The sequence below is a fragment of the Homo sapiens genome, chromosome 3 (genome assembly GCF_000001405.40).
Source record: "Homo sapiens chromosome 3, GRCh38.p14 Primary Assembly".
Lineage (NCBI taxonomy): Eukaryota > Metazoa > Chordata > Mammalia > Primates > Hominidae > Homo > Homo sapiens.
In genome coordinates, this window is record NC_000003.12 from 129,355,010 (window position 1) to 129,368,890 (window position 13,881).

General features: G+C 55.9%; 3 annotated features.

The window, feature by feature from the left end:
* Positions 2,798–3,682: an enhancer, noted in NCBI's record as "H3K4me1 hESC enhancer chr3:129076650-129077534 (GRCh37/hg19 assembly coordinates)". NCBI's record gives its function as "activates a minimal SCP1, AML or CMV promoter by ChIP-STARR-seq in naive H9 embryonic stem cells {active_cell/tissue: H9 hESC(naive)}" and the evidence as "EXISTENCE:reporter gene assay evidence [ECO:0000049][PMID:30033119]".
* Positions 11,017–11,548: an enhancer, noted in NCBI's record as "H3K4me1 hESC enhancer chr3:129084869-129085400 (GRCh37/hg19 assembly coordinates)". NCBI's record gives its function as "activates a minimal SCP1, AML or CMV promoter by ChIP-STARR-seq in naive H9 embryonic stem cells {active_cell/tissue: H9 hESC(naive)}" and the evidence as "EXISTENCE:reporter gene assay evidence [ECO:0000049][PMID:30033119]".
* Positions 11,549–12,078: an enhancer, noted in NCBI's record as "H3K4me1 hESC enhancer chr3:129085401-129085930 (GRCh37/hg19 assembly coordinates)". NCBI's record gives its function as "activates a minimal SCP1, AML or CMV promoter by ChIP-STARR-seq in naive H9 embryonic stem cells {active_cell/tissue: H9 hESC(naive)}" and the evidence as "EXISTENCE:reporter gene assay evidence [ECO:0000049][PMID:30033119]".

Below are 13,881 nucleotides of genomic sequence, written 5' to 3' on the forward strand. Positions count from 1 at the left end.
ACAAGGAGGTGCCACTAACACCACCAGGATGGCTCTACTCAAAAAGTCAGACAATGACAACTGTTGATGAGGAGATGAGGACGTGGAGAAACGAGCCCTCATGCATTGTGGGTGAGAATGTGAAATGCTGTAACTGCTTTGGAAGACAGTCCGGCAGCGCCTCGAGCAGTTAGACATGTATTACCCTGTGACCCGGCAATTCCACTCCAGGGCCTCTACCTAGGAGAGATGAAAACCTACAGAATTCATCCTTAAATGTTTGTAACAGCATTATTCATAATAACCAGAAAGTGGAAACAACACAAATGTCCGTCAGTTGATGAATGAACACACTGTGGTCTCTCCACACAGTGGAATATTATTCAGCCGTGTAAAGAATGAAGTCCTGATACATGTTACAACATGGGTGAGCCCTAAAAACATGCTAGATGCAAGAAGCCATTCACAAAAGTCCACATATTATACGATTCCATTTAGGCAAAATGTCCAGAATAGGGAAAACTGTAGAGACAGAAAGCAGATTAGTGGTGGCAGGGGCTGGGTGGAGGAGGCCGAGGGAGTAGAGAGCTGATAGCCAATAGGAACAGGGTTTCTTTTTTTGTTTTTTTTTTGTTTTTTTGTTTTTGAGACAGAGTCTTGCTCTGTTGCCCAGGCTGGAGTGCAGTGGTGCGATCTTGGCTCACTGCAAGTTCCGCCTCCCGGGTTCCCGCCCGGGAGGCTATTCTCCTGCCTCAGCCTCTCGAGTAGCTGGGACTACAGGCGCCCGCCACCACGCCCGGCTATTTTTTTGTATTTTTAGTAGAGACGGGGTTTCACCGTGTTAGCCAGGGTGGTCTCGATCTCCTGACCTCGTGATCCACCCGCCTCGGCCTCCCAAAGTGCTGGGATTACAGGTGTGAGCCACCGCGCCCAGCCCAGGGTTTCTTTTTGGTGATGAAAATGTTCTGAAATTAAGTGTGGTGATGGTTGCACCAGTCTGTGATTAAACTAAATATCACTGATTTGTGTATTTGAGCTGAGTGGGTTGTGTGGTGTGTGAATTATACCTTGATAAAGCTGTGTTTTAAAAAAGGACAAGGTGAGCTCCCCATCCCTAGAGGTATTCCAGAAGCCGCTTAGGGCTGCCTCTTAGGAATGCTGCAGATGGGAGTCTTTGAGTGCAGAGGTCACTCTTTGGGGGCGGGATGGACGACTTTTTAAAGACAGCTTTGTGGAGATACAACTTTTCAGTCCTTTGCAGTGGGGTGGAACTTGACTCTGTGGTTTTCTTTTTTCTTTTTTTTTGAGACGGAATCTCGCTCTGTCGCCCAGGCTGGAGTGCAGTGGCGCCATCTCGGCTCACTGCAAGCTCCGCCTCCCAGGTTCACGCCATTCTCTTGCCTTAGCCTCCCGAGTAGCTGCGCCCGCCACCACACCTGGCTAATTTTTTTGTATTTTTAGTAGAGATGGGGTTTCACCGTCTTAGCCAGGATGGTCTCGATATCCTGAGCTTGTGATCCGCCTGCCTGGGCCTCCCAAAGTGCTGGGATAACAGGCGTGAGCCACCGCGCCTGGCCGACTCTGAGGTTTTCTTGAAACTCCTATTTTATGAGTTGATAGAGGTGGTTATGGGGCTGGGTAAATAGGAAGGTCGTTGTGACCTTGAACTCCTTTATGGGTTGATTTGCCAATTGATCCAACAGTGGGATTGACAGTGCATTTGGGGCTTGATGGATTCTGCTGCACTGGCTCACGTGGACTTGGGGACACAGGCGTAGTGAGCCTCTGGCCTTGTGTGCCTGCCCCACAGTCTGGGTCTTTAGTGCCCTGGAGCATCAGCTTCCAAGTTTGTAAAGCAAGATTGCTGTGAGCTTGGTAGAGAGGAATGTGCAGGGTCCAACGCCCTCAGCGGGCCTGGGCCTCCAGCCTGGCCCCCCATGCAGTCACGTTCCTGTGCAGTGGGGTGATCCACAGATGTGGAGACATCCCAGGCCTGGCCATGCGGCCGAAACTGCTGCCACAGAGGGGGCTGTGCATTCCCTGGCCCCTTGGGCTGGTCAGATGAGGCCCCTCCGCAGACAGTGGAGTGGAGGCTGGAGGTAAGGCCTCCATGGACACATGATGAGCCCTCCCTATAGTGGGCAGAGGGGGCTGGACACCAGGCCCCCCAGGAGTAGTACTAGTGATGTGCAGAGGCTGGCAGGTCCTTGGCTGAGCCAGGGCTGTCGGGAGCGCACAGCCACCTGCTTTGCTGGGGGAGAAAGGTGGGGCAGACACACAGTGGCCAGGCCTGGTGACCAATGGGGCACCTGGTGCCTGTGGGAGGGAGCCTGCCAGGGTCCCCTGTGAACCCCCTCCCCTCCAAGTGGAATTTTGCCACTCATAAGCAAAGGTGTTGGAATGACCGCCTGGCCCCTTAGTGGTATGTTAGTGTATGTGTTCATGTGTGCACACGTGTGTATGTGCTGTGTGTGCTGCAATGTGTGTTGGGGGGATCCGGCAGAGACCTTCCTCCTTTTATTTCAGGTAAGGCTAGAAACTGTAACATGTGACACCTTTGGCATTAGTTTTCCTCCTTGGTTATCTGTTGGGTGGGAGTGAGTTTCCTTCTCCCCTCTTTCCTGCCTGCTACAAACATTTCCTGACTTCCTGCTCCACTCCAGGCCTGTGCGCAGAAGCCTCCAGTGTGAGCGAGGCCCCAGCCTGCACACAGGTGAGCGGGAGAGCTGCAGGTGGTCCAGCTCTGAGCTGGGATGACACCACCTTTCCCAGTGGAAGGAGGCTGAGAACAGAGAGGCAAGGGTGGGGCCTTACCTGGAGGGTGATGGCCTCACAGCCGAGGAGACTCTTCAGTGCTGACCTCGGAAGGCTCTGAGATACGGGGCTGAGGAAGGGCTCTCCAGGCAGAGGGAATAGCAGGGGCACAGGCCCAGGGCAGGGAGGGGACAGGGCAGCGTTCAGGGAGGTGGAGGTGAGGCCGGTGTAGGTGGGAGTGGTAGGACAGAGGCTGCAGAGGGTCTACGGGGTCAGTGGGAGATGAAGTAGGGCAGCCTGTCAGATGGGCTCACTGCCTGTGCTATTTTAAGGTCTTCTTCGTATCGATTGCCCTGGGCTTTGGCCTGACCATCTTCCCAGAGCTCCCCAGTCTCCCTCCCCTCACCAGCACCGTCTACACTAGTGGGCCATGGCACCCAGAGGGCTGGCTTAGACCAGGGCTATGGGGCCCCCTCAGCTTGTGGGATCTGTTGGAAGCCCAGGGCCCTAGGAGATGGAAGGCAGCTGGGAGCCACCACCCTGGAGTCCCTACGGCCAAGAGGCTCCACGGCCACAGCTGACCCATGCCGAGCCTCAGGCCAGGGGCAGAGTTCTGGTGTGGGGCTGCTAGGACAGGGGTGTTTGAATAATTCCTGCGTCCTGAATCTGAGCTCAGGCCTGACAGACAGGGCTGCTCGTTGCCTCTGCTTCCCGCACGCATGGCCAGCTGCCAAGATCCCTCTAGAACACGGCCCTGGCTTGTCTCTCTGGCTGGCCTTTTCACCCCAGACACAGGTGTGCCCGAGTTTCTCCTAAGCTGCGTGAGCCACTGGCACTCATTAAAACCCACCAGATGCAAATGGGATGATACGATTATCATTATTGAGATGCTTGTCAATAGCTGCAGCTTATCAGAGCCGCCTTTGTGCCAGGCTCTGCTCCAGGAATGAGACCTCTTTTATCTCATCTAATCTTCACAACAACCTTGGTGGGAAGGTACGATTAGCTCCACTTTACAGGTGAGAAAACTGAGGCTCAGAGAGGTTAAGAAACCTGCCCCTCAGAGGCACAGCGCACATGGGGCAGAGGCGGCATTCAGACTCTGGACTGCCTGACTCCAGAGCTGCTGAGCCACCACTAGGGCCTCTCACAGAGGCTGGGCACTGACACGCGCCCACAGGGGCTCAAAAACACAGGGCCGTGGGGGTCTCAGGTCCTCTGGCCATGGAGAGAAGGGTTCTGGGGACACGAAACCAGCGTGGAGGGACTGTGCCTGCGAGGGTGGGCGAGGGCTGCTTGGAGGGTGCGGCATTTGCTGTGGGCTTTTAGGGATTTCATCTGCCAGGATGGGGGCAGGGAGAGAGGGCCTTCCAGGAAGACGGAAGTTCCAGGGCAAAGGCCCGGAGGCTGGGCACCTGGATTTGGGCTCAGTGTGGTGGCTGAGAAGGGCTGGAGTGGTGCCAGTTCGTGGGTCCTGGCCTGGCCTTCAGAGATGGGCTGTGAGGGGATCAGACCTTTTTTTAGCGCCATGGAGAGGCAAGGATGGTGACTCGCCTGCCGGCTCTGTGGGCTCCTACTGGGGGAGGGGCGTCCAGGGAGGTGGCTGAAGACGCTGCTCCCAAAACAGGACTCGGGGGTGGATGCCTGAAGAGCCCAGACCCTGAGTTGGGGTCTTTGTTTGTAAGGCTGACCTGGGGCAGGGGGCAGAGGGGGGTGGTGGGGGCCCAGAAAACAGAGGCCCCAGGCAGGGATATTTCCTCCCTCCCTTCCTAATTCAGTAAATTTCATGGGCACGCTATTAGAAGTCCTGGATTCAGGAGCGACAGGATGAAGACCTCACTGCCAAGAAGGCCTTTCATGTTCATTGCTGTCGAGGAAGTGGTGAGACCCCCGTCATCACAGGTGTGAAAGCAGAGGCTGGATCCTCATTTCTTCAGGCTGTGCTTACACTGTTCTCCTGCCCTGTGTCTTGTCCACACAGACTGCGAGCTCCATGAGGGTGGAGATCGCTCAGTCATCCAACATACCTTTACTGCACACCTACTGTGTGTCAGGCACTGCTAGCCAGAGGATGCATCAGGGAACAGCATACAAGGTCTCTACCTTCTACCTGACTCTTGTCTCTCTCGAGTGATAGTACGTGATGATCTTGCCAGAGGGAGGCATCTGGGGTCTGTGCTGCTGTGTTTATAGAGTCACAGCCTCCTCACCTCCCACTCGGCCTCCCGGAGTCATTGACTGGCCATGGTACTTTCAGTCCTCAGCGGGCCGTGCCCTCCATGTGGATGGCGTTTATTTACAAGGCCTCAGGGCCTGCCTCCTTCCCCTTCTCCCCTAGGAATGTCCCCATTGGGGTGGGCATAGGGAGAAACACACATGACTCCTGAGGCTGCCTGAAGCCCACTCAGCTCCACGGAGATCGGCCCCCAAGACACTCTTCTTCTTAGGAAAACTCAGAGCGGAGGAGCCCCGGCTGTTAGTGTACTCCAGTGGCTGTGGCATGTGTCTGCCTGCAGTTTCCAGGGGCCTGGCTTTATCTGTGTAGATTGGGATAATCTAGAGTAGTTGCTGGAGCTCCTGGGGTTAAGCTGCTTGGACACGCATCAGCCCCCTCCTCCTGAGCACTGCAGGCAATTATCCTAGGGGAGGGGCGGGTGGCCTGGCAGCTGGCGCCTCTGCAGTGGAGGTGGCAGTGGGGGCTTGGAGATTGCGGTTCCCTTCCCTGGGCCCAGGGAGGTGCAACCCCTGCCAGCTGCGTGAAACATCCTCCTGCAGTGAGTGTGCGGGACTAGATAAGAGGCCGAACTGGAGCCCTGGGAGGGCACCCAAGGATAAGGGCAGGACTTACCCTGTGCCGGGCACTTGGTGTTCATTCTACCTCACTGGGTCCCCCCAGCCTGGGGGATACCACAGCCAGGTCACACAGCCCAAGCCACATAAGTGACATTTGATGAAACCGGGATTCAAAACCCGGTGCGTCTCCCTCCAAGATTGCTATTCTTTCACCAGGCTGGGCTGTGAATGGGCTGCTTCCCCCAACTCCCTTTGCTGAGGACCGGGACTCGGAGGCTCAGAAGAGTGAAGTGACCTGCTCAAGGCCTGTGATATTCCTGGGCCAAGATTCCTGAGCCTCCCCCTGCAGGAAGGTAAGTGATGTGTGGATACTGTCCCCACTGCATAGTAATGGGGAAGGTTGGAGGAGGGCAGGGCTGTAATCTCGGAAGCTTGTGAGGGGCTTAGCTCCAGTGCTGGGCGTCAGGCTGCTGCAGTGTTCTTGGAAAGTGCAAAAGAGAATTCCTGAGTGTATTAGTCTGTTTTCACACAGCTGATAAAGACATACCCGAGACTGGGATGAAAAAGAGGTTTAATTGGACTTACAATTCCACATGGCTGGGGAGACCTCAGAATCATGGCAGGAGGCAAAAGGCACTTCTTACATCGTGGCAGCAAGAGAAGATGAGGAAGAAGCAAAAGCGGAACCCCCTGATAAACCCATCAGATCTTGTGAGACTTGTTCACTATCACGAGAATAGCGTTGGGAATGACCAGTCCCCATGAGTCAATTACCTCCCCGCTGGGTCCCTCCCACAACACATGGGAGTTCTGGGAGATACAATCCAAGTTGAGATTTGGGTGGGGACGCAGCCAAACCATATCATTCTGCCCCTGCCTGGCCCCTCCAAATCTCATGTCTTCACATTTCAAAACTAATTATGCCTTCCCAACAGTCCCCCAAAGTCTCTGTCTATGAGCCTGTAAATTCAAAAGCAAGCTAGTTACTTCCTAGATACAATGGGAATACAGGTATTGGGTAAATACAGCCATTCCAAATGGGAGAAAGTGGCCAAAACAAAGGGGTTACAAGGCCCATGCAAGTTCAAAATCCAGCAGGACAGTCAAATTTTACATATATAACTTTTTATTATAATTTAAGGTATAGTCGATAATATAATGTTTTTATTTTTTATTTTTTTTTATTGATCATTCTTGGGTGTTTCTCGCAGAGGGGGATTTGGCAGGGTCATTGGACAATAGTGGAGGGAAGGTCAGCAGATAAACAAGTGAACAAAGGTCTCTGGTTTTCCTAGGCAGAGGACCCTGCGGCCTTCCGCAGTGTTTGTGTCCCGGGGTACTTGAGATTAGGGAGTGGTGATGACTTTTAACGAGCATGCTGCCTTCAAGCATCTGTTTAACAAAGCACATCTTGCACCGCCCTTAATCCATTTAACCCTGAGTGGACACAGCACATGTTTCAGAGAGCACAGGGTTGGGGGTAAGGTCACAGATCAACAGGATCCCAAGGCAGAATAATTTTTCTTAGTACAGAACAAAATGAGAAGTCTCCCATGTCTACCTCTTTCTACACAGACACGGCAACCATCCAACCTCTCAATCTTTTCCCCACCTTTCCCCCCTTTCTATTCCACAAAACCGCCATTGTCATCATGGCCCGTTCTCAATGAGCTGCTGGGCACACCTCCCAGACGGGGTGGCGGCCGGGCAGAGGGGCTCCTCACTTCCCAGTAAGGGCAGCCGGGCAGAGGCGCCCCTCACCTCCCGGACGGGGCGGCTGGCCGGGTGGGGGGCTGACCCCCCACCTCCCTCCCGGACGGGGCGGCTGGCCGAGCAGAGGGGCTCCTCACTTCCCAGTAGGGGCGGCCGGGCAGAGGCGCCCCTCACCTCCCGGACGGGGCGGCTGGCCAGGCGGGGGGCTGACCCCCCCACCTCCCTCCCGGACGGGGCGGCTGGCCGGGCGGGGGGCTGACCCCCCCACCTCCCTCCCGGACGGGGCGGCTGGCCGAGCAGAGGGGCTCCTCACTTCCCAGTAGGGGCGGCCGGGCAGAGGCGGCCCTCACCTCCCGGACAGGGCGGCTGGCCGGGCGGGGGGCTGACCCCCCCACCTCCCTCCCGGACGGGGCGGCTGGCCGAGCAGAGGGGCTCCTCACTTCCCAGTAGGGGCGGCCGGGCAGAGGCGGCCCTCACCTCCCGGACGGGGCGGCTGGCCGGGCGGGGGGCTGACCCCCCCACCTCCCTCCCGGACGGGGCGGCTGGCCGAGCAGAGGGGCTCCTCACTTCCCAGTAGGGACGGGCAGAGGCGGCCCTCACCTCCCGGACGGGGCGGCTGGCCGGGCGGGGGGCTGACCCCCCCACCTCCCTCCCGGACGGGGCGGCTGGCCGAGCAGAGGGGCTCCTCACTTCCCAGTAGGGGCGGCCGGGCAGAGGCGGCCCTCACCTCCCGGACGGGGCGGCTGGCCGGGCGGGGGGCTGACCCCCCCACCTCCCTCCCGGACGGGGCGGCTGGCCGAGCAGAGGGGCTCCTCACTTCCCAGTAGGGGCGGCCGGGCAGAGGCGCCCCTCACCTCCCGGACGGGGCGGCTGGCCAGGCGGGGGGCTGACCCCCCCACCTCCCTCCCGGACGGGGCGGCTGGCCGGGCGGGGGGCTGACCCCCCCACCTCCCTCCCGGACGGGGCGGCTGGCCGGGCGGGGGGCTGACCCCCCCACCTCCCTCCCGGATGGGGCGGCTGGCCGGGCGGGGGGCTGACCCCCCAACCTCCCTCCCGGACGGGGCGGCTGGCCGGGCAGAGGAGCTCCTCACTTCCCAGTAGGGGCGGCCGGGCAGAGGCGGCCCTCACCTCCCGGACAGGGCGGCTGGCCGGGCGGGGTCTGACACCCCCACCTCCCTCCCAGACGGGGCAGCTGGCCTGGTGGGGGTTGACTCCCACCTCCCTCCCGGACGGGGTGGCTGCCGGGCGGAGAAGCTCCTCACTTCCCAGACGGGGTGGCTGCCAGGCGGAGGGGCTCCTCACTTCTCTGACGTGGCGGCTGCCGGGTGGAGGGGCTCCTCACTTCTCAGAGGGGGCGGTTGCCAGGCGGAGGGTCTCCTCACTTCTCAGACGGGGCGACCGGTCAGAGATGCTCCTCACCTCCCAGACGAGGCGCTCCTCACATCCCAGACGGGGTGGCAGGGCAGAGGCGCTCCCCACATCTCAGACGATGGGCGGACGGGCAGAGACGCTCCTCACTTCCTAGATGGGATGGCGGTCGGGAAGAGGCGCTCCTCACTTCCTATATGGGATGGCGGCCGGGCAGAGACGCTCCTCATTTTCCAGACTGGGTAGCCAGGCAGAGGGGCTCCTCACATCCCAGACGATGGGCGGCCAGGCAGAGATGCTCCTTACTTCCCAGACGGGGTGGCGGCCGGGCAGAGGCTGCAATCTCGGCACTTTGGGGGGCCAAGGCAGGCGGCTGGGAGGTGGAGGTTGTAGCGAGCCGAGATCACGCCACTGCACTCCAGCCTGGGCACCATTGAGCGCTGAGTGAACCAGACTCCGTCTGCAATCCCGGCACCTCGGGAGGCCGAGGCTGGCGGATCACTCGCGGTTAGGAGCTGGAGACCAGCCCGGCCAACACAGCGAAACCCCGTCTCCACCAAAAAAATACGAAAACCAGTCAGGCGTGGCAGCGCGCGCCTGCAATCGCAGGCACTCTGCAGGCTGAGGCAGGAGAATCAGGCAGGGAGGTTGCAGTGAGCCGAGATGGCAGCAGTACAGTCCAGCTTCGGCTCGGCATCAGAGGGAGACCGTGGAAAGAGAGGGAGAGGGAGACCGTGGGGAGAGGGAGAGGGAGAGGGAGAGGGAGAGCAGGACAGTCAAATTTTAAAGCTCCAAAATGATCTCCTTAGACATCAAGGTCATGCTGATGTAAAACGTAGGTTCCCACGGTCTTGGGCAGCTCTGCCCTTGTGGCTTTGCAGGGTACAGCCTCCCTCCTGGCTGTTTTCATAGTCTGGCACTGAGTGTCTACAGCTTTTCCAGGTGCATGGTGCAAGTGGTAGATGGATCTACTATTCTGGGGTCTGGAGGTCAGTGGCCATCTTCTCACAGCTCCACTAGGCAGTGCCCCAGTAGGGACTCTGTGTGGGGGCTCCAATCCCACATTTTCCTTCTGCACTGCCCTAACAGAGGTTCTTCATGAAGGCCCTGCCCCTGCAACAAACTTCTGCCTGGGCATCTATGCATTTCCATACATCTTCTGAAATCTAGGCAGAGGTTCCCAAACCTCAATTCTTGACTTCTGTGCACCCACAGGATCAATACCATGTGGAAGCTGCCAAGGCTTGGGCTTGCACCCTCTGAAGCCACAGCCCGACTATACATTGGCCCCTTTCAGCCATGGCTGGAGCAGCTGGGACACAGGGCACCAAGTCCCTAGATTGCACACAGCACAGGGACCCTGGGCATGGCCTACAAAACCACAGTTTCCTCCTGGGCCTCTGGTCCCGTGATGGGAGGGGCCTCCATGAAGGTCTCTGACATAGCCTGGAGACATTTTCCCCATGGTCTTGGGGATTAACATTAGGCTCCTTGCTACTTATGCTAATTTCTGCAGCCAGCTTGAATTTCTCCCCAGAAAATGGGGTTTTCTTTTCTGTTGCATAGTCAGGCTGCAAATTTTCCTGTCTTCTTCTGAGCCCTTCAAACTGTTCCAATCTCTGCCTGTTACCCAGTTCCAAAGTCACTTCCACATTTTCGGGTATCTTTTCAGCAATGCCCCACTCTATTGGTGCCAATTTACTGTATTAGTCCATTTTCAGGCAGCTGATAAAGACATACCTGAGACTGGGAAGAAAAAGAGGTTTCATTGGACTTACAGTTCCACATGGCTGAGGAGGACTCAGAATCATGGCAGGAGGCGAAAGGCACTTCTTACATGGCAGCAAGAAAAAATGAGGAAGAAGCAAAAGCGGAACCCCCTGATAAACCCATCAGATCTCGTGAGATTTATTCACTATTACGAGACTAGCACAGGAAGGACTGGCCCCCATGATTAAATTACCTCCCCCTGGGTTCCTTCCACAACATGTGGGAATTCTGGGCGATACAAATCGAGTTGAGATTTGGGTGGGGGATGCAGCCAAACCATATCACTGAGGAAATACACACAGCATCATCCAGAACTGGCCCATCCTCCCTGGGATGCAGTGGGTTATTCACACTCAGGTTCTCAGGAGGAAGGAGCTGTGGACTTGGACTTGGAAAGCCCCTGGCATAGGCAATCCAAATAGAAATCCAAGAGGACTTCGGTGTGGTCCTCTTAGAGGGCATGGAGGCAGGGTTGTGCTGCAGGGAGAGCCCAGCCCCAGGCATATGGGAGGGCAGGGAGGGCATGGGGGTGCTGGACTGTGAGAGCCGATGCCTCCCTGGAATTGTACAGGCTGCACTGGTCTGGAAGGAGGCCCCAGCACAGCCTGCGTGAGGAAGCTGGCGTGCACGGAGGCCTTGGGGAATGATTCTGCAGCTGTGCAGCAAATATTGGCTAACGGTTTAGCTGGGCCCAGGGAAAGGAATACATTACAGGGAATTGCAGGCCAGGCACATTTAATCTACGCTAATTTACTGTATTGGAGAGAAGGAGAGGGAGGGAGAGAGATGGAGACAGAGCAAGCAAGTGCAACTGGACTAGTGGACACCATCTGCCTCCATCTCTCTTCGTGCCTGAATTGGGAACGGGAGGGTTTAGTTTCTTGGGGCCTCATGGGCCGTGTGCCTCTAGCCTGCCGAGTGTGAGTCCAGTGTCTGCCCACATGTGTTCCCACCCCTGAATGTAAGCTGGCTGCCTCACCTGGGCTCAGCCAAAGGGACAACAGCCATCCCTCTGATGACAAGTGGCACCGCAGCCCAGGCAGCCAGGGCAGTCGGTGCGCTGAGTCACTTGCTTTGAGCCCGGAAGCTGCTGCTGGTTCTCGTGCTGCTTCCTTGGGGCGTTGGTTTGAGTGTGACTCTTGCCCACCCTGCTGACTTTGAACCGGCCCCTGGTCAGGGCTGACCCTACTGGGGGGCTCGGTCCAGCTGTGCTGCCTGGCTTCAGATGTGGCCTCCCTGTCCCAGGGCACCCCCCCGGGGCACTCCACGGTGGGGCAGCGAGGGCGCAGGCGTGGATGCTGCAAGCTCATCCTCCACTCGGCCCTCCCTCATGTTCCAGCCGTGCTCCCTCCCCAGGCTGCCCGCACACACTCCACCCTGGAGGATGAGCTCACAGAGTCCCTTTTTTATTGTGGTGCAATGCACATAACATAAAATTGACCACCGTAACCATCTTTGAGTGTACAGTCAGGGGTATTAGTACATTCACATTATCATACAACCGTCACTACCATCCATCTCCAGAACTTTTCATTTTCCCAAACATGAAACACTGACTCCCCATTCCTCCTCCCCCAGCCCCTGGCAACCCCCATTCCACTTTCTGTCTCCATGAGTTTGACCGCTCCAGGGACCTCATCTAAGGACAATCACACAGTATTTATTCTTTTGTGACTGGCTTATTTCACTTAGAGTAATGCCCTCAAGGTTCATCCATGTTGAATTTCCTTCCTTTTTAAGGCTGACTATAAGGATGGGTGCACCACATTCTGTTTATTCCTCCATCGATGGTCACTTGGGTTGCTTCCACACTGTAGCTGTTGTGAGTAATGCTGCTATTCATGTGGATGTACAAAGATCTTTTTGAGACCCAACTTTTATTTCTTTCCTGTATATACCCAGAAGTGGGGTTGCTGGACCATACGTTAATTCTGTGCTTAATTTTTGGAGGAACCACCATACTGTTTTCATAGCAGCTGCACTGTTTTTCATTTCCACCAATAGTACATAGGGTTCCAATTTCTTCACATCCTCGCCAACAATTGTTAGCATCTGTTTTTTGATAGGAGCCATCCAAATAGGTGTGAGGTGCCAGCACAGACTTTTGCACGTGGTAAAATGAGTGGATAGAGACAACGTCTGAAGCATTGAAGCAAGACGACTCTTCGCAGCGGCTGCAGTTGGCTGGAGTGTCATTGTGGATTGGAAAATAATGTATTTCTTTCTCTTTTTAGAATTTTACTTTAAGTTCCAGGATACATATACAGAAGGTGCAGGTTTGTTACATAGGTAAACGTGTGCCATGGTGGTTTGCTGCACCTATCTGTCACCTAGGTATTAAGCCCTGCAAGCATTAGCTATTTGTCCTGACACTCTCAGTCCCCCATCCCCCAATATGCAGATTCTTTTAAAGTACTCCATAATAATTTCCCCACATTATTTTCCCATTTGTCCTAACTAGCAGGATTTTAATGTAACAAAGCTATCCGACAAGCCACAGGGTTTATGTCTACAAGTGAACTCTCTCAGCAACACAGATGCATAGCACTGTGATTTTTGTGTTTTTTAGAACACACCCTATTGTATTGGAATCCTGGAAATGAAAATGCTATTCCCCTGTGGACAAAGCTTTCCAAAGGGGAAACATCACTTGGGGAAAAATGTGGTGCTTCTGTCCAGGATAATGGATATCACAGCCGTGCCTGTGACCTCGTGGGTCTGCACTTTGCACATGAAATCTTAAATTAGGCTGGGCGCAATGGCCCACACCCGTAATCCCAGCACTTTGAGAGTCTGAGGAGGGAGGATCACTTGAGGCCAGGAGTTCAAGACTAATCTAGCTGGGCCTGGTGGTGTGCACCTGTGGTCCCAGCTACTTGAGAGGCTGAGGTGAGAGGATCCCTTGAGCCCAGGAGTTCAAGGCTGCAGTGAGCTCTGATCACACTACTGCACTCCAGCCTGGGTGACAGAGTGAGACCTGTCTCTAAAAAAGAAGAAAGAAATCTTAAATCAGTCTTTCCCTATGTCTCCTCCCCAGGACTCCTGCCCAGCTTGGAAATAGCACACAAAGGCACAGGGGAACTGGTGGGTACACAGGGAAGGTCGGGAGCCTGGAGTCTGAGCTCTGGTCACCATCCTTCCTGGCCATGTGGCCTTGGGGGAGCCAATTTCTGTTTCTTTGAGGACCTCCCATTCCCCCTGCTGCAGATGGAAGAGTGAGACTTGCCTCACGCATTTGTTGTGCAGAGTAAACAGCATAACTCACAGGCAGTCCCCCCAAAGGTGAGTTGAATGCAGCTGCTTGTCATTGAAGCGGTGCAGTGAGGCAGGACTCGGGGAACCAGGAACGGGGTCCTGGCTTGATGGGGTCCCCAAGATGGGGACTGATACTTTTGTTTCCGGGCTCATGTTACAGCTTTCCACTGTTAACTCACCCTCCTACGCCTGTGATCTCATTGGATCGTCCCAAGAAATTATCATTTCTAACTTAGAAATGAGGACACA